Raw genomic sequence first — 19,179 nt, forward strand, 5'->3', positions numbered from 1 at the left:
ACACATATTTAGCACAGTATTTGCTAGGCATTCTGAGAAATAATAAAAAAGACCCTGCTCCCATGTAACAGGAAAGAAAGGTGACATATATACATTACAGCAATAGAAGATAAAAGTCAAAAAGAATGGCAAGAGAGACACAAAATTATTGGAAAACATTTTTTTCACTAGAGAGGAATATTGGGAAAAGATTCATGCATGCAGTGCCATGCAAGTCAGGCTCTGAAAGAGACACAGATTTGGAGATGCAAGGAGAGAGAATAGATGCACAGACTGGAGGAAACAATCATGGAAACAATGATGAGGGTTGCTCAGGAAATAGTGAGATGCTGCAGCTTTCAGAGACACAGTATATGGGAGAGACTGAAGGAAGGCAAGAGGGGGAAGCTGAGTTGGAACTGATGGTGAAGATCATGAAATGCCACGCCAGTAGGTCCAATCTTATTCCATATGCATTGGGGGAACCTTGAGCTGGGTGTGACATGATCTGAGCTCTGTCTTAGAAAGGATTTTGTGGCAGAGAGGAGAGTAATTTAAAGGGAGACACAGATGGCCCAGAAAGAATGATTAGGAGATGATATTAGTTTCTTATCACTGCTATACAAATGACCACAACCACAGTGGCTTAAAACACATTTATTGCTCTATCATGCTGGAGGTCAGAATTCTCAAAATGAAGGTGTCAGCAAGACAGCATCCCCACCAGGGCTCTAGGAGAGAAATCCTTTTCCTGCCTCTTCCGACTTCTAGAGGCTGCCTGCACTCCTTGGCTCGGAGTAGAGTCCTCCATCTTCAAGGCCAAAAGAGTCAAATGTCTCCCTCTCTTCCTCTTTCTCCCTATCCCTTCCTTTCACCTCTGCACCCACTGTCACATATTTGTCTTGTTCTCATACTCCCGTCTCCTTCTTTTGATTATATTTAGTACTTGCTTGGATAATCCATAATAATTTCCCCATCTCGAAATCCTTACCTCCAGCACACCTGCAAAGTCTCTTGTGCCAGGAGACAGGTCCCATGGATTAGGACGTAGATACTGTTGGGGACCAAAGATTCTGTCTACCAGAGACAAAAGCCACAGACCAGAAGGAGGCAGTGCTATCTGCAGTAAGGCAAAAAGAGTACACACAGGGATGGGGCTCAGCCCCACTGCCTCCTTTCCCTCTGTTCTGTACCTAGGGGTACACAGAGGAGATGAGGGCTCACAGTTGTGTGTACTGAATCCAAAAGGATTCTTGTTAAAAATAGCAGGAACGCCACTCGAATGCCTTCAGCAAAAAGTGGTAATTAATCAACTATTAATCAGCTCACAGTTGATTAATGAATTAATCAGAATGAATCAGTTGTCACTGGGAAGACCAGGGTTAGTGCACCCCTTGGTTCCTCGATTAGATTATCAGTGAGCTTGTCTCCTCTCTCAGTGTGTCTTTCCTTGTATGGGCTTCATTCTCAAGCAAACCCTCTCCATTGGTGATGTTTAGGAGCTCCACATCTACACTGACACAGCTCCATCACCCCAATAGAGAGGTGCCACATTCTTCCCAACAATCCCAATAGAAGGCTCCTGCTGAGCCTCATTGGGTAAACTTAGGGCATGTTCCCATCTCTGACCTAATTGGTCTTAGCAGGAGAGAATTTACTGACTGGTCAGGTCTGTCACAGGCTCACTCCTAAAGCAGGGAGGTGGGGAAGAATCACCCACTATTTACAGACACTGCTTAGAGGAGGAAAGACATTCTTAGTAGAACATTATGGTGGTATCATCAGAAGAGGAAAGGAAAGGAAGCCATAAACAGCAGATATCTACTTACTGGACAACAGAAGAAACAAAACAAGATAAAGCACTTCCCAAGGGTTCTTTTCTGGGTGCTGAATTCTAATTCTCTTCCACCTGTCTGTGCCTAAATAGAGAGGGGAGCCTCAGGCACATCAGGTGGTCTTGTGCCTGCATCCCACTGCCTTGTTTGGGATTACAGTTTCCTGTTAGCCTATTTTATTTAATTATCTCAGTTCATATGCTTTCAGCAGGAGTTTAAAATAAATTTACAACAGAGCACTTTCATTCCAGCCAAGCCACAAGGCCTGCTGACAACTCTTTAATTGAAAAAGTGTTTTCAATTTTCAAAGAGACCTGGGATTATATTGAAAAATGATCCTGCTCTTCTGTCATTGCCATTACACTGTATCACCAGACAGGTCCATAAACACTGATTTGACGTTAGAAATGTTTGATAATGTTGGCCAGGAGCTACATTATTCATACACAAACAAATACATACTTATATCAATAATGTATACAAATAGATTTCTTCCTCTAAATTATATTTAGTGACTTAGTAGTTGGTCCATAAGACACATTCGGTCATAAAAAAATTTTAATGTTGCTGCTAAGGATGTGAGGACACGGTTAGGTCAACAATGGTGTGCCCATTAAATGACATATTTTTCAGCAGTTAAAAAGCCACTTCCAAAAGCTTACCAGAAAATGTTTCTGAGCTATATTTTATACTTAAAATGCTGATAAATATGAAAATATATGTATTAATATATCACAAGGCTCAAAGTTAAAATGTTGAAAAGGATTTACAATGAACATTGTTCTACCATTCCTGTCATTCGGCTCCCTAGTTCCTCGCCCAAACAATTGTTTCCTTTTTTTGTGTGTCCTAACAATGTGTTTACATAAGCAGATATATTTATATATGTGTGTATTTATGGGTACATACATTTATATATGTATGTGTATTTGTATGTTATAAAATTATATTTACATAGACAGGTGACCTTAAAACAACACACAGCTATGCACTGTGCAGGTCCACTTACAAGTGAGTTTTTTTCCATAAACATATTACAAAATGATCTGGAGATTTTCAGCAATCTGGAAAAACTCAGAAACCACGTCACCAATAAATAGCAAAACAAAATAAGAAAAAGTTAGGTACGTCATGAATGCATAAAATATACATAGATACCAGTCTATTTATGTGTTAATCAACTGTTGATGTTATCAGTAAGGCTTTTGGTCAACAGAAGGCTGTTGGTAGTTAGGTTTTGAAAGAGTTGAAAATTATGTGCGGATTTACTGCCATGTGGGGAGTTGGTGCTTCTGACCCCTACATTGGTCAAGGGTCACCTGCATCAGTATGAGTAGTTGCATGTGTGTGCATTCTGAAACACTATGGTAATAGAAGAAAAGGAAAGTGTGGAAGAGCAGATATGATAGGTTCCAATTTGTGTGAAAGAGGAAAAATCTAAATATATGTAGGTTTGTAGATATAGTTGCTATTTAGAAGGACATAAAGTAATGGAATAAGAGAGAAAAAATAATTTGAGCTGTTTACATTTTGCAGTTTTTTTAAATGTCTGTTACATGCACATATAAAAGTTTAATGAAAAATCTATTTTTCAAGGCTTTGATATTCATGACATTTCTTCCACTTATAAACAGTGTCTTTCTCTTTCCTAGAGTCTGGCTGGCCTGGAACGTGCCATGACTGTACAATATGATAGGAGGGAGACTGTACCAGCTCCAAGCCAGCTTTTCTGATACCTGCAGCTTCTGATTCCTCTGGAGGAGAAGTCAGCTACTAGGTAAGAAGTCAACTCACACTGAGGCCGCCATGCAGGGAGGAAGCCTAAGCCAGCCCAGTGGGGAGGCCATGTGGTGGACAACTGAGGAACCCAGTGGACAGGGCAAATTGAGACCCCAGACATGAAACCAGCTGAGTCATCCCAGTCCTTTGTATGATTGCAGCCACGGCTCCCATTATTGTGGCTCAGAGATGATCCATATCCCCTCTCCCCTGAGCAAATTCTCATCCAAAGAATCATGAGGAACTAAAATGGTTGTTCTTTCATGTTACTATGTTTAGAGGTGGTTTGTTCCATTACAATAGACAGCTGAAGCAAGCATGCAGAACCTTACTTTCCAGAAATGGAGAAGGACAGTGGAGGGTTTGTGTGGATGAGAAGCAAACACAAATATTTCTTTCCCTTTGTGGCTGAGAAGTATTGCAGGTGCAGTTTTAAAAGCCCCATGGATAAACAGCTCATGTAGGTCCAGGTCCAGGCTTTGAATGCACTACAGTTCCCTTGTTGGAAGCACCAGCCTCAAAGCGAATAAAGCAAATGTATTGATCACCCTGTATGCCACTGAGTGACATGGAAGGTTTTAACAAGAGACCATCTCCTCTACCTCACTGTGAACTGAAGAAAGACAAACCACAACTCCTTGGAACTTCATTTTCCCCTAGTATGGAGACATTCTTATCCTGGGACAACTCCACTGTCTTATTGAAAGCATCAAATAAGATAACTCTGGGTGAAAGTGTTTTATACACTGTAAAGTGTCGTACAGACCTGGTGACTTTCTAGATCCTATTTTGAAGAAAAAACAATTATTCAGACCTTGAATTACAGCAGAACTAAGAAATAGGAGGTAGGCTGGCATAAGACCTAAGATTGTGTGTGTGCAGAGCAACGGTCTGGGCTGACACCTTGGCTCTTCTATTTATTTCCTGCATGGCCTGAAGAATGTGACTTTATTTCTCTGTACCTTACTTTGCTTATCTATAAAATAAGGATGATAATACCCACCTCTCATCATGCCATAAAACTTACATAAGCAAATACCTGTGAAGTGCTTCAAACAATGCCTGGCACATAGCAATTGTGCTGCTATTTTAACTATAATAATAATTTAAGGCTTTCAATATCTTTATGGTCCTCCAAACACTTTGTTCTGACAACAGAGTGGTTGTCATAAAATTTAAAACTTGGAATGACCTTACTATTGATTAATCTAACCCAACCCTCTCCCGGTATCATCAATAGCCTCATCAATCGCCCCTCATGCTTGCACATTTTCTGAAATGGGAACTCACTGTCTCCCTGGTAGCCTCTATCCTTGTTGTGGGGCTCTGATAATTTGCTTCAAGTAAGTGTCCAACACTGAAGTTGCTGAGTCAGACGGCATATTCACTTACAAGCCTTTCAATTCTAATTCCCAATGTGTCCTTAAGAAAGGTGATATTCATATACAGTACTACTCATAAAGTGCCCAATTCAACACAACCTGAAGCAAGGAGAGTTGGATTAAAAGCCACTTTCTAATTTGATCAACAGAACAATAACTATTCTTCTTTCCTATTTTATATTCATTATAGTACTAATGAAACTAAGTATTTTTTCTCAAATATTTACTGCCTTACTTTTTCCATTTTGACTTGCCTGTTAATGTCCTTTATCTATTTATTTGATGCATTTGCTTTTACCTTGATTAATTTATAGATTCCCTGTCTTAAGCATACTCGTTCTTTGTTAAAAAGTTTGAAAATAGTTTTCCCAACATGTCATTTAAATTTTAGTTTTGATTTTGGTCTAATGTGATAAACAGATATTTTAAACTGTTTTGTAGCTAAGTTATTTTTTATGGTTTATTCTTTAGCTTGTATGATACAGAAGCCTTCCTTGCCTATACATCACATCAATATTCACTTCTGGGTTTCTCTCTGCTCATTATAGGGGATTTCATTTTGACATGACAACTAATGCATTTTGTGGCACTAAAGCCCATAAGGTTATCCTTCTCTCATTCCATTAAGACCAGGGGGTCTTTATTGCTTCACAAAGGAAGGGCAGTTAAAAGGGAAATAAGACACGGAAATATGGGAGTGTGTGTCGCTGAGAAGGGTCCCGCTTTCAGCCTTCTATCTTCCCTCAACAATCCTGAGCCTTTACCTGGTATGTCCCAGGACAGAAACAGAGTCCTGCTGTCTTTCCCAGGGAATGTCATGGAGGGGTGCCAAGGCTTCAATAATTTGTTCTAAAAATGGCTTTGGAGAAAGATGTCATGATGTGTTTTTAGCTAGTTGCGCCTGAGACAGCTACAGACTTTAATCTCATCAAGTGCAGTGACTGGAGCAGCCAAATATTTTTCATAAGAAAAATGGGCAAGAAATGACTGCAAGAAAGCCCAGGAGGTATATGCTTTCTCATCAGGGCAAAGACTGAATCCTCAGCACTGTCTAAGCTGTCACATAATACATAGACATAAGTCCTGGACCATTACCAGAGAGAGACACAGAGATGACTGAGAAAACTTAAAATAAAAAAAAAAAGATTAAAAGAGCCCCATCAGGTCAATACCTAGATGTCGGCCTTGTGAGACTGAACAGAGAACCTCGTCATGTCTGCCTGGACTTCTGGCCCCCAGAACCACGAGCTCATAAATTGTAAGCCTCCAAATTTACGGTAAGATCTTAGACAGTATAGAAAACTAATATATAAGTTATTTTATAATGGCTTGACAAGTTGAGGAAGCATTTGCTGTACATCTCACATGAGCTACTTTAGTAGAGCAATACACAGCACTGTCTGATCTCTCTCTCTCTTTTTCAAACACACACACACACACATAATTGATGCAATGCGTGTGTGATGTAACTCCATTATAGGAAAAGAAGGTCTACCTATTTAGAAGCAAGCCTACCCAGAATCCAGATGTTGATTTTTAATACCATTCTCCCATGAAAAGAACCACAGTTTCCTGGGAAAATGACTGATTCTAGGACTGAGACAGAGAATATGTAAAATGAGGCTGGAGCATCTTGTTGTGCCAGAACGTAAGGAAGTGCTCAAAAGAAAAAAAAAATCATTGTTGGGGGTATGCAAAGGTACAAACTGAAAGCGTTCTCAGCAGCCAGTGCTAGACAAATTCATGCAACAAAATAAATAAAATACTTTTGGGTAACCCAAAGTACAAAGAAAATATTCATGAGACATCTTGACATAAATGCTTAAATCAATCAATAGAAGAGAAGAAACAAGTCTCTTGTGTAGAATAATTCCAGGTAATTTATGTAGATTGTCTGCCCTCAAGGAGGTTCAGCATAACTCATCAGTCCTTCAGTGAGGACTGGACCTAAATAACCATAGCCATGGTGACATGTCAGGACAGTTAGTTCTTTTTCATCCTCATTTAGCAAGAGCCCAAATTGTTCTCATCTGTTTCCCATGGCTTCATGGAGTAAAAAAATAAAATTCTAAATATGAGTTTCTTCTCTGCCGTCACTATTAGCATCACTAGTACATACCCTATATGCAATGCTTCAAAGAGGGTTTTTCCCTGTGAGCTTCTGTGGTAGGGAATTTCATTCTCACCATTTTACGATCCAGGAAAGTAAGGTGTGGTTAGAGACACTCGTTGCAAGGTAACTCAGATATTAAGTAGTTGACTTGTGGTTTTCTGGTGGAGGGAAGACCTACCTGTCCCCAGTCCCTCCACACATTGGTTAGGATGCTGAGACCAGTGTTGAGATTGTTGATCCAAAAATGCACATAAAATGTATGTAACAGTTTATTAGTCACAACTGGGACTTTTGGGGACAGCAGGATTGTTCCTAGTACCAATGGAGCCCATGGCTTGAGTGGAGCAGAGGGTGGGGGATAGAGGGTGGGGGATAGAGGGAGGGGAATAGAGGGTGGGGGGTGGAGGGGGATAGAGGGTGGGGGATAGAGGGAGGGGGATAGATGGTGGGGGATAGAGGTAGGGGGATAGAGCATGGGGGATAAAGGGTGGGGGATAGAGGGAGGGGGATAGAGGGAGGAGGATAGAGGGTGGGGGATAGAGGGAGGGGGATAGAGGGTGGGGGGATAGAGGGAGGGGGATAGAGGGTGGGGGATAGAGGGAGGGGGATAGAGGGTGGGGGATAGAGGGAGGGGGATAGAGGGTGGGGGATAGAGCATGGAGGATAGAGGGTGGAGGATAGAGGGAGGGGGATAGAGGGTGGCAGATAGAGGGTGGGGGGATAGAGGGTGTGGGATAGAGCATGGGGGATAGAGGGTGGGGGATAGAGGGAGGGGATAGAGGGGGGGACAGAGGGAGGGGGATAGAGGGTGGGGGATAGAGGGAGGGGGATAGAGGTAGGGGGATAGAGCGTTGGGGATAGAGGGTAGGGGATAGAGGGAGGGGGATAGAGGGAGGGGGATAGAGGGTGGGGGATGGAGGGGGGATAGAGGGTGGGGGATAGAGGGTGGGGGATGGAGGGGGATAGAGGGAGGGGATAAAGGGTGGGGGATAGAGGGAGGGGATAGAGGGAGGGGGATAGAGGGTGGGGGATAGAGGTAGGGGGATAGAGCATGGGGGATAGAGGGTGGGGGATAGAGGGGGGGACAGAGGGTGGGGGATAGAGGGTGGGGGATAGAGGGTGGGGGATAGAGGGAGGGGGATAGAGGGTGGGGGATGGAGGGGGATAGAGGGAGGGGATAAAGGGTGGGGGATAGAGGGAGGGGATAGAGGGAGGGGGATAGAGGGTGGGGGATAGAGGGAGGGGGATAGAGGGAGGGGATAGAGGGAGGGGGATAGAGGGTGGGGGATAGAGGTAGGGGGATAGAGTGTGGGGGATAGAGGGTGGGGGATAGAGGGGGGGACAGAGGGTGGGGGATAGAGGGAAGGGGGATAGAGGGTGGGGGATAGAGGGTGGGGGATAGAGGGAGGGGGATAGAGGGTGGGGGATAGAGGGAGGGGATAGAGGGTGGGGGGATAGAGGGAGGGGGATAGAGGGTGGGGGATAGAGGGAGGGGGATAGAGGGTGGGGGATAGAGGGTGGGGGATAGAGGGAGGGGGATAGAGGGTGGGGGATAGAGGGAGGGGGATAGAGGGTGGGGGATAGAGCATGGAGGATAGAGGGTGGAGGATAGAGGGAGGGGGATAGAGGGTGGCAGATAGAGGGTGGGGGGATAGAGGGTGGGGGATAGAGGGTGGGGGATAGAAGGTGGGGGATAGAGGGAGGGGATAGAGGGGGGGACAGAGGGAGGGGGGATAGAGGGTGGGGGATAGAGGGAGGGGGATAGAGGGTGGGGGATGGAGGGGATAGAGGGTGGGGATAGAGGGTGGGGGATAGAGGGTGGGGGATAGAGGGAGGGGGATAGAGGTAGGGGGATAGAGCGTTGGGGATAGAGGGTAGGGGATAGAGGGAGGGGGATAGAGGGTGGGGGATGGAGGGGGGATAGAGGGTGGGGGATAAAGGGAGGGGGATAGAGGGAGGGGATAGAGGGAGGGGGATAGAGGGTGGGTGATAGAGGTAGGGGGATAGAGCGTGGGGGATAGAGGGTGGGGGATAGAGGGGGGGACAGAGGGTGGGGGATAGAGGGAGGGGGGATAGAGGGTGGGGGATAGAGGGTGGGGGATAGAGGGTGGGGGATAGAGGGAGGGGGATAGAGGGTGGGGGATAGAGGGAGGGGATAGAGGGAGGGGATAGAGGGAGGGGGATAGAGGGTGGGGGATAGAGGGTGGGGGATAGAGGGAGGGCAGCCTTGCCTCTGATTGCTAATGGGAGGCAGGCTGGGGTGGGCTCCAGTGCACAAGTCCTGGCTTGCATGGCTCAACTCCCTACAGTGCTGAGGGAGGCGATGCTGGACTTTCTTACCAGGACAGGTGAGGGTGGGGGCTTGAAAGGGGTCAGGGGCCAACCATTAAAAATGGAATCAGACTCTGTATCACAGCAGTGATGTAGAATATTAAACTCAGCTCTCAGGACACCAAAACCACTAGGGGGTTTCTACCCCACAGCAGCTGCCATATACAACACGGTCATGGAGACACACACAGACCATATGCAGGCAACAGCTTGCATTTTGAATATTACTCACCACTGTGAGTCCTGGGCTGCATCACTCCTCACTGGTGAGCCTGTCTCCTAGGCACTCTGGGGATGATCAAAGTACCTGTATTGTAGGACTGTCCTGAGAAGTAAATGAGAGATGCTTAACTTAGAGCCTGCTGTGTTGTAAATGCATAAACATGGAACTCAGTTAATCATCATTCACTCAACAGCATCGGTCTATCTTCCTGCCCACAGGGTTCTGCATCCAACCTCAGGCAAAGGTGCAAGTCATGGGGGTTTCCCAGTGAGTGGAATGGCCTGATGGGCGTGTCATCTCTACTCCTCCATGGCTGGGAAATGTGGATGAGTCATTTGCTTAGCAGGACTTTACTGAGCACTTTGTGTTTTTGTTTTGTTTTGTTTTTGTAATTGTGTGTGCTAGGCACTGTTCTAGGTGCCACAGACACAGCATGAAACAAGATAGGCAAGATTCCTGCCTTGGGCAGTGTACATCCCAGTGGGATGAGTCAGTGATGCCCATATTCACAAATGAATAAGCAAGGTGGCTTAAAACAATATCAGTTTGCTGTCTTATACTTTTAGAGGTCAGAGTCTAGAAATTAGTCTGTGTGGCTGAAATCAAGCTATCAGCAGGGCTGTGTTCCTGTTGGAGGCTCCAGGGGAGCATCTACTCCTGGCTCTGTGTTCCTGTCGGAGGCTCCAGGGGAGAGCGTACTCCTGGCTGTGTTTTCCAGTTTCCAGAGGCCACCTGCAGTCCTTTCCTTAGGTCCCTCTGCCAGCACTCCTGACACTCTAACCTCTGCTATTGTGGTCACCTCTCCTCTGACTCTGACCCTCAGTCCTTCTCCTTATTAGAAAACATGATTACACAGGACTCACACAGATAATCCTGGGTGATCTCCCAATTCAAGGCACTGAATCACATCTGCAAAGTCCCTTTTACAAAATAACATGTTCAACAGCTCCAGGGACTAGCCTATGGACATTTTTAGGAGCCCTACTACACTTGCATATTGCAAAACTTTGTATATTAAACCTATGAAAAATGAGTTCAAATCAAAATCACACATCCAAATGGCCTACAATCTCCAGGAAGATCAGATACATGGGTCAAAAGGAAGAGGCATAGCAATGGAAATTTATATTAATTTGCTCAAACTGACATAACAAAGCTCCACAGACTGGGTGGCTTAAACAGCATAAATGCATTTCCTCACAGTTCTGGAGGCTGGAAGTCTGAGATCAAGGTGTCTGTAGGGTGACTTTCTTCTGAGGCCTCTCTCCTTGGCTTGTAGGTGGCCGTCTTCTCCCTGTGTCCCCACATAGTCTACTCAGTGTCTGTATCCTAATCTCCTTTTTTTTTCTTTTTTCTTTTTCTTTTCTTTTCTTTTTTTGTTTTTTGTGATGGAGTCTCACTCTGTTGCTCGGTCTGATGTGCAGTGGTGCAATCTTGGCTCACTACAATCTCCGCCTCCCAGGTTCAAGTGATTCTCCTGCCTCAGCTTCCAGAGTTCACAGGCACCTGTCATCACATCCAGCTACTTTTTTTTTTTTTTTTTAGTAGAGATAGGGGTTTCACCACATTGGCCAGGCTGGTCTCAAACTCCTGACCTCAGGTGATCCGCTGGCCTCAGCCTCCCAAACTGCTAGGGTTACAGGTGTGAGCCACCGTGTCTGGCCTAATCTCCATTTCTTATAAAGGCACCAGTCAGATTGGATTAGGACCTGCCATAACAACCTCATTTTTATTAAATTACCACTTCTCTAAAGACCCTCTCTTCAAATACAGTTATATTCTGAGGTCCTGAAGGTGAGAAGTTGAACATACGTATTATGAGCACACACAATCCAGCTCATGACAGAACCCAGAGCAGCAGAGTGGGCTGCAGTGACAGGAGGAGGAACTGATCTGTCTAAGGGGGCGACAGCTCCAGCCAGTGGTCACCCCATAGAAATGTGGGCTTCTGAGACATAATAGTCTCCTGGATTTTCAACAGAAGTCCAATGAAAGTTTTCATTTTGTTTGTTTTTGTGTATGTTCTTGCTTACTGTTTAAATAAGCCATCCTGGGTTAGCAACCTGCATACCCAGACTCTCTCTTATCCCTCTGGACACGCTGTGGGAGAAGAGAGGGGGCTTCTTTTCTCCTGCTTTGTCTCCCCTCCCTTCCATCCAGGTTGGTGATGAGTTGTAGAGGGAGAAGATAGAAGATGCAAGAAAGAGGCTACCTGCCTAGGACTGGCATGAGATGGTGCAGGTGCTCTCTGGGCAGGGCACATGTTGAAAGCAGCTGTTTTTGCAAAACATCCCCATACAAAAAAAGGAGTAGAGGCCACCACCCTTGACTCGTCCAGCTCCTACACTGGACTTTGACTTCCATGAGGGCTGCATAGAGGCTGACTTTTGACTCTAACCCCTGGGATGGGCACAAGGCCAAGCCACAGACAGAAGTCAGTAGATACCTGTTAAATTTATGAATAAGTCAAAGAAATGCCTTGGAAAGAGAAAGATGTTCTATCAGGAAATAACCCCCTGAGAAATCTTGCAGGTCTGCACGTGCGCTGAGGCTGAGGGGCCTCTGGGACTTCAGTCAAGGCACCCAGATGAGTCGGTGGCACCCTCTGCCTGCTCTATCTTGATGACAATGAGAGGGATGATCTCAGTTTCCTCTCTGAGCAAGAGAAACACAGATTTTAAAGGATCCAGCAATCTGTGTTGAGAAACTACTTACAAATGACTTGTTTTCATTGGTCTGTATAGGAGTATCAAAAGCTCTTCAATTTCTTCAATAATTTCATCAGAATCCACTAATGAGATAGCTGAACCAAGATATGGGAATTGCAATCAACAAAATCAGGGAAAAGGAAAAGCTCTTTGATTTACTCACATTTGTTCCTTCCTTTTTCTGCAGTCTTATTTGAATGGGGACAGCTAGCTAATGACTATTCCAATTCTGCCAAAACCTGAGAACGATGCCAAAATTCAACTGACAAAATATTAACAAGATACAACTCTAAGGAAAGGTTGGCAATACAATTACATGCACAAAGAGTAAACAAATGCTAGCCTTTCTCTCTAATTGTCGCATGAGAAGACATTCCATGGTTTCAGGCACATAAGAGCTACTTCAGGAATCAAAGGCTCACTAAGGAAGAGCGGGGATTTGTGATGTAATAGGAAACATTTCCAAGCCTTCATTACAGAGCAAGGGAAAACTGAGATTCCTCAAGCATCATGAAACGAGATCTTCCCCGAGTCTAAGAGGAGCCCACTAGAGAGGCATTATAGGCGTTTATGCCTCTCTAGGATGCCAGGCAGGCTTCAGGCTGTAACCCTGGAGGCTGGTGAGGAACCTACAAAAACAGGAGCCCTCAGAGCTGGGGCCAGCTCCTTCCCCATGACTTCCTCCAGGTAAACCCTCTGTGCACCTAAGGCCTGAAAGGCTCACAACAGGGTTAAAATAAAAGCTGTCTTTTAGTGACAGGGTTGAATCTTCAAATGCCTGGTGTGCACAAAACATACACAAACTTATTTGCAAGTAAGCAAAAGTTAGCATCAACAGCCACTGCAGCACCCCGACACAGTACAATAAAGAATATTTGTGCTTCTGAAACAAAGGTGGGAAGTGGATTTCCTGGAATAATAAATTAGTTACTGCATGTTCATCCAGAGAACCAGACCCACCAAGAGCCATTGGCTGCAGGTCTAAGCATTCTTTGGATCTATTTATTTTAATTCAAATGAAATCTATCTTTTTTATTTTAAAAATAGCATTGGAGTCACAGGAGAAAATAAGAAAGGTTTCTCCTACAAGTGAAGTTTACTATTCATTTCTACCTCTTTTTCTGTCTAAAGTGTTGATGCTGCCCTCATGGAAGTCAAAGTTGAGTGAAGGAACTGGATGAGTCTACGTTGGTGGCCTCATCTAATCTTAGCCATTTAGGAATACAGGTGATTAAAGGCAGCTTCCCTGCTGGGCGCGGTGGCTCATGCCTGTAATCCCAGCACTTTGGAAGGCCGAGGCGGGTGGATCACAAGGTCAGGAGACCAAGACCATCCTGGCCAACATGGTGAAACCCTGTCTCTACTAAAAATACAAAAATTAGCAGGGCGTAGTGGTGCATGCCTGTAATCCCAGCTACTCAGTAGGCTGCGGCGGGAGAATCGTTTGAACTTGGCAGGCAGAGGTTGCAGTGAGCCGAGATTGCGTCACTGCGCTCCAGCCTGGCGACAGAGTGAGACACAGTTTCAAAGAAAAAAAAAAAAAGCAGCTTCCCGCTTCCCTTTCCTCAGCTCAGAGGCGGATCAATGTACAAGAACAAATAAAATATGGAAAGACAGATACAGTTTTTATTATTTTCTGGGGAAAAGTCCAATCTCTAGGCTCATAGAGTCAGTGTTTCCATAGCCAACCAAGGATGGCCAGTCCTGGGGGCTGTACCTAATTAGCATAGGATGTCCGGCTGCTGTTGACCACCAAGGTCTCAGAACAGAGCAGCCCTACTGGAGAGGCAGAGAATAGAGAGAGGATGAAGTTATGGGCAGGTAAGTAGCATATTCTTTTTTCTCTGAAGGGGACCAGATAAAATTGCTTGAACTTTACTAACTAAATGTTTTATGATACAGAAAATAGGCAGATTTTTTTTTCTCAATAAGAGCCAGGTGTTACTTAAGATGGTTGTCTTTACTGAATGGAAGGGAAAGAGAGAGAGAGAGAGGGAGAGAGAGAGAGAGAGACGTGAAAGAATGCAAATCCCTAATAGATCATCATATGCACTCATTTTATCTCCAGTTGTCTGTATTTTGTGGCGATTATTAAAGTTTCTCTGTATTCCTAATGCCCTTTTGTGAATTGTTAATACAATATTACTAAATCACTTTTCTCTATTATTATTATTATTTTTTTTTTGAAATGGAGTCTCACTCGGTCACCCAGGCCAGAGTGCAGTGGTGCAATCTTGGCTCACTGCAACCTCTGCCTCCTGTGTTTAAGCAATTCCTGGCCTCAGCCTCCAGAGTAGCCGGGATTACAGGCACCTGCCACACCACCCAGCTAATTTTTGTACTTTTAGTAGAGATGGGGTTTTGCCATGTCAGCCAGGCTGGTCTCGAACTCCTGACCTCAAGTGATCTGCCCACCTCAGTCTCCCAAAGCGTTGGGCTTACAGGCGTGAGTCACCGTGGCTGGCTAAATCATCCTTCTATTTAAATAAAGGCATGGCCCTAGAATCTATTTATCTCCGCTCATTTCCAGTTAAAACCGTGCGCTGAAGCCTCGGCCCCTCCCTCTTGTGTGGGCCATGGTTTGCTGAGGTTTGTATTTATGCATTTCAGAAATCTCTGCAGGCTGCTGGAATCATTATCTCTGGGGGTTCAGAAATTCCAAATGCACTGATCTTCTTCTGCAATACTACAGCAATGACTTGCCCTTACAGTCTTCTCCATCTTTGTAATGTCAGCTAAGTCAATAGATTTAAAAAGAAATTGAAAATGCCGTCATTGGTGCCAATTGCCACGAAGAGCAGGCTTCAGTGTGGCTTTGTAAAGAAGTAATGAAGGTGGGAGGGGGGGGATTTTGTTCCCTGGTGGATGTTTTTATTTTGTTTTGTTTTCTCTCTCTCAGTTCGAACATTCTACAGACACAAGTAACATAAATTCCAGTTCCACATGTTTTAACTGAAAAAGGAAAAACAGCTACTAGAGGTTGTTGTTTGTTGACTCACATCACTGAAAAGACCAGGGTCTGAACTGGCTCACCTCAGGCTTGCCTAGAACCTGGGCTTCGTGACTCAGTTTTACTCCCTCTCTTCATTCCATCTTCTGCTGGGCTGGGTGAGTCCATTTGATGTAGCCTTATAGATTCAGGACATACCATCCACTTTTAACATTTTAAACAGAAAAGAAATCATCTCTCTCTCGTGGCTCCAGAAAAAAAATACCCAGATTCACTCTGCTTAGACCAATCTGGGCCCATCCAGCGATAATATCTGTGACTGTGGGAACCATCTGACTAGTCATATCTGGGTTCCATGATCCATCCCTGAGTCTGGACGTAGAGACCACCTGAATCACATGGACTGAGAATAGGGGAGAAGTCTTCACTCCATAAAATCGGGTGCCTCTTACCACACACACAAAATGTAGAGGGATGGGTGTTTGCAAATATAAGTATTTGCAACCAGTCGAATTTAATTTAAATCACTGAATTGTAGAAACAAACAGTGTCTGCAGGCTATAATTATCTTTTGGCCTTCTAATTTGCAGCATGTGACTAAAATACCATTTATTGTTAGATCTTTAGGTTATCCCCAATTTTACACTATTATAAACAATGTGGATGTGAAAATATTTGAACTGAAGTTCTTGAAAACAATATGTGATTAATTCCTTAGGGTAAATGTCAATAACTGAGACTTCTGTTAAAGGTAATCTATTTTCCAAAGTTTTTGATATGTGTTGTAAAAATGTCTTAGAAAACACTTGAAATAACTCAGGACCTCACTAGCAGCATATGTGGGTGTTGGTCTCTTGATATATTTCACACTTTTTACTATGATTGTATTTCTACATATGTATTAATGTAACTAATGTATAGTAATTTTGTCATCAAAATTCACACATATTTGATTTTTGGTAAGCTTGAACATCTTTCATTTCTGTAGTGCTTGTTTATGTTTCTTCTTTAGTCAATTATCCATTCTTGTTATTTGTTCATTTGTCTCTTTTTCATTTGTTTGGATTCTTTATATGTCAAAGGTATTATCAAAGGTTCCAATTCTACACCTTATTTTTTAAAAATCTAAAAAATAATTTGAATACAAGTTTAGCTTTTAATCACATGAGCCACAGTATTTCTGAAAATGATTCTGAGCTTTAAAATATATGTCATCCCAGTCTAAAATGAAAGTACACTCTTTGATAAGAGGTATATGATTAAAATTCCAGGTATAATACATCCTACTTAAATAACAGCCTGTTTCCCAATATACATACCACAAAAGTGTGTTCTTAGAAGCCCTTTAATCAAATGCTTATTGTTTTCTAAGTTTAACTTCACATATATTTCCCATCAATAAAGTGTAATTTTACCTGTGATTAGTACCACTAAATCTGACCTCATGCTGTTCCTACCCTTGTACTTAGTAGTCTCATGATACCAAACGAAATGTAATTAAACAACTTAACACATGGAAGAAAAGTTAAAATAGTCTATGACATACAGTAACACATAAGTGACTTATGTGATAATCATGTCCCTACATACTATAATTTTTCAAATGTTTGTTCTTGCTCACACATCTTCAACCTGAAATTCCTCTTCCATTCCTTTTGCCAGTGTCATTATCTCTTCTGAAAACTTTTTGTGAACCTCTTTGCTGGCTAAGTCCACCTCTTCTGTGTTTCCTAACACTCTATGCAGACCTCTATTGTAGCACTGGACATCGTATATCTAAATTACTTATGTATTACTCAGTCTCTTAAAATATGAACTCCTTGAGGAAGGGGAATGTCTCTTATTTAAACCTGAATTTTCAGGGTTTTACACAGTCTCTGTCACATAGTAGCAACTAAATATATGCCTTACCTGCAAGAATAAGAAAACAACTGTTCTAAAATCCCTGATATTTTATTTTATTTTATTTTTTGAGATGGAGTTTCGCTCCGTCTTCGCCCAGGCTACAGTGCATTGGTGTGATCTCGGCTCACTGCAGCCTCCACCTCCTGGGTTCAAGCTATTCTCCTGCCTCAGCTTCCCGAGCAGCCAGGATTACAGGCATGCACCACCACGCCCAGCTAATTTTGTATTTTACTAGAGATGGGGTTTCACCATGTTGGTCAGGCTGGTCTCAAACTCCTGACTTCAGGTGATCGGCTGGCCTCGGCCTCCCAAAGTGCTGGGATTACAGGATATTTTATTTTACTTAGAAGTAAAAGGCTAAAGAAGGAGTCATTTTTTTTTGTTTTAATTTAAGACGTGTGAAATGTCAGACTCTAGCTCCAGCTATATTTACAGTTCAGCCACCATTCATAAAAGTAGAAGGACTTATGAAATATGCATCTCCCACGTGGTCATAATTCATCACTCCTCACAGAGGGAGCTGTGTTCCTCCCTGGGGCTGGGAGTAATGCCATTCTGAAATGTGCAGGCTATTTTAAGACTGGGACCTTTACTTTTCTCACCTCAGTCACAGGCTCTGGCTCAGAAATCCTATTTTTGGCTCCCCCTGCCTGCACACTTTTCATGCCTGTATTGGATAGAATGCGCTCTGTGACTTGGGGAAAGTCAGTACGAGGCATTCCTCATTAGAGGAATTAATGCCAGTTGCTGAAAAAGGGAACTCCTGAGACCTTATTGCCTTAAGGCAGTGAAATTTTACTTCTCCTGTAAGTCCGGCATGGTCAGGCCACTCCTTTCATTGCAGCAAGTGAAACAATGATCCACAGGAGGCGCACCCGCCCTTACCTGCCTCAGCCAGGATTGCCGCAAATCAATCATGCTGAGTCCACAGGTGAGGAATAGCCAGATGGCCCCAACTTACTACCAGAGGACCCCGGGAAGCGTAGGGGAATACCTGGGTATATGTAGCACACGTTTGGTCTTTGTTACACAGCATCAAGCTTTCCACTATTATCACAACTCATTTTAACACCTAGATAGAAACAAATTTCTGCCTGAAAAGGGTCTGATACCTTGCAATTTTCTTACTTCTATAGCACATTCAGGCTGCAGCACAGAAACTCCTGACCTTCACGTTATATCACTATAATTATTTTAAACATGGTAAGTTAAGAAAAACAAATGAACAAACAAAAAGCTTTGTGAGAAAACACAGACAGATACAGCAAGTGGCTTTCATTTCCTGAACCTATTTTCTAATTATGATTCTGATTTTCCTTTTCTTTTTTTGATAGTTTAAAGTTTATTGTTCTTTCTATAAACCTTTTAATTTCAAACTGTTTTAGATTTACAGAAAATTGGATGATACAGTTTTCCCATACACTCTTACTCTACTACATCTTCCATTATCATGATATGCTTACCACAATGAATGACAAAATACAAGTATATTGTCATTAAATGAAGTCCATTCTCTCTTCAGATTTCCTCAGTCTTTCCCTAATATCCTTTTCATGTTCCACTATTCTATCCAGAATATCACATTAGTTATGTCTCCTTAGGCTTCTCTTGCCTGTAACAATTTCTCAGACTTTTCTTTTCTTTTTTATTTGATAACCTTTACACTTTTAAGAAATTCTGATACCAGTACCATGCTGTTTTGGTTACTGTAGCCCTGTAGTATAGTTTGAAGTTGGTTAGCATGATGCCTCCAGCTTTGTTCTTTTTGCTTAGGATTGCATTGGCTATTTGGGCTCTTTTATAGTTCATCATGAATTTTAAAATACTTTTCTCTAGTTCTAAATCATTATATTATAAAGACACCTGCACAGTTATGTTCATTGCAGCACTATTTGCAATAGCAAAGACATGGAATCAACCTAAATGCCCATCGATGACAGGCTGGATAAAGAAAATGTGGCACATATACACCAT

General features: G+C 43.2%; 1 protein-coding gene across 5 annotated transcripts in view, besides 3 other annotated features; it reads left to right on the forward strand.

The window, feature by feature from the left end:
• Positions 1–19,179, forward strand: part of LOC107984449 (uncharacterized) — a 97,530-nt gene that overhangs the window by 55,587 nt on the left and 22,764 nt on the right. For 3 of the 5 annotated variants that reach the window (XR_007063517.1, XM_047429960.1, XM_024449289.2), the window contains exon 2: positions 3,467–3,591. The gene's annotated coding sequence lies outside the window, so the exon portion shown is untranslated. Of the gene's footprint in view, positions 1–3,466; positions 3,592–14,112; positions 14,172–19,179 lie in introns of those variants that run through there. The other 2 variants (XM_047429961.1, XM_024449290.2) reach the window with 1 other exon arrangement.
• Positions 9,719–10,918: an enhancer, noted in NCBI's record as "MED14-independent group 3 enhancer chr12:127610351-127611550 (GRCh37/hg19 assembly coordinates)". NCBI's record gives its function as "activates an origin of replication core promoter dependent on BRD2, BRD4, P300/CBP and CDK7 cofactors, and independent of MED14, by STARR-seq in HCT116 cells {active_cell/tissue: HCT116}" and the evidence as "EXISTENCE:reporter gene assay evidence [ECO:0000049][PMID:35650434]".
• Positions 9,784–9,853: an enhancer, noted in NCBI's record as "active region_7325". NCBI's record gives its function as "activates an Ori minimal core promoter by ATAC-STARR-seq in GM12878 lymphoblastoid cells {active_cell/tissue: GM12878}" and the evidence as "EXISTENCE:reporter gene assay evidence [ECO:0000049][PMID:35858748]".
• Positions 17,824–18,325: an enhancer, noted in NCBI's record as "NANOG hESC enhancer chr12:127618456-127618957 (GRCh37/hg19 assembly coordinates)". NCBI's record gives its function as "activates a minimal SCP1, AML or CMV promoter by ChIP-STARR-seq in naive H9 embryonic stem cells {active_cell/tissue: H9 hESC(naive)}" and the evidence as "EXISTENCE:reporter gene assay evidence [ECO:0000049][PMID:30033119]".

This window comes from Homo sapiens, chromosome 12, assembly GCF_000001405.40.
Source record: "Homo sapiens chromosome 12, GRCh38.p14 Primary Assembly".
Classification (NCBI taxonomy): domain Eukaryota; kingdom Metazoa; phylum Chordata; class Mammalia; order Primates; family Hominidae; genus Homo; species Homo sapiens.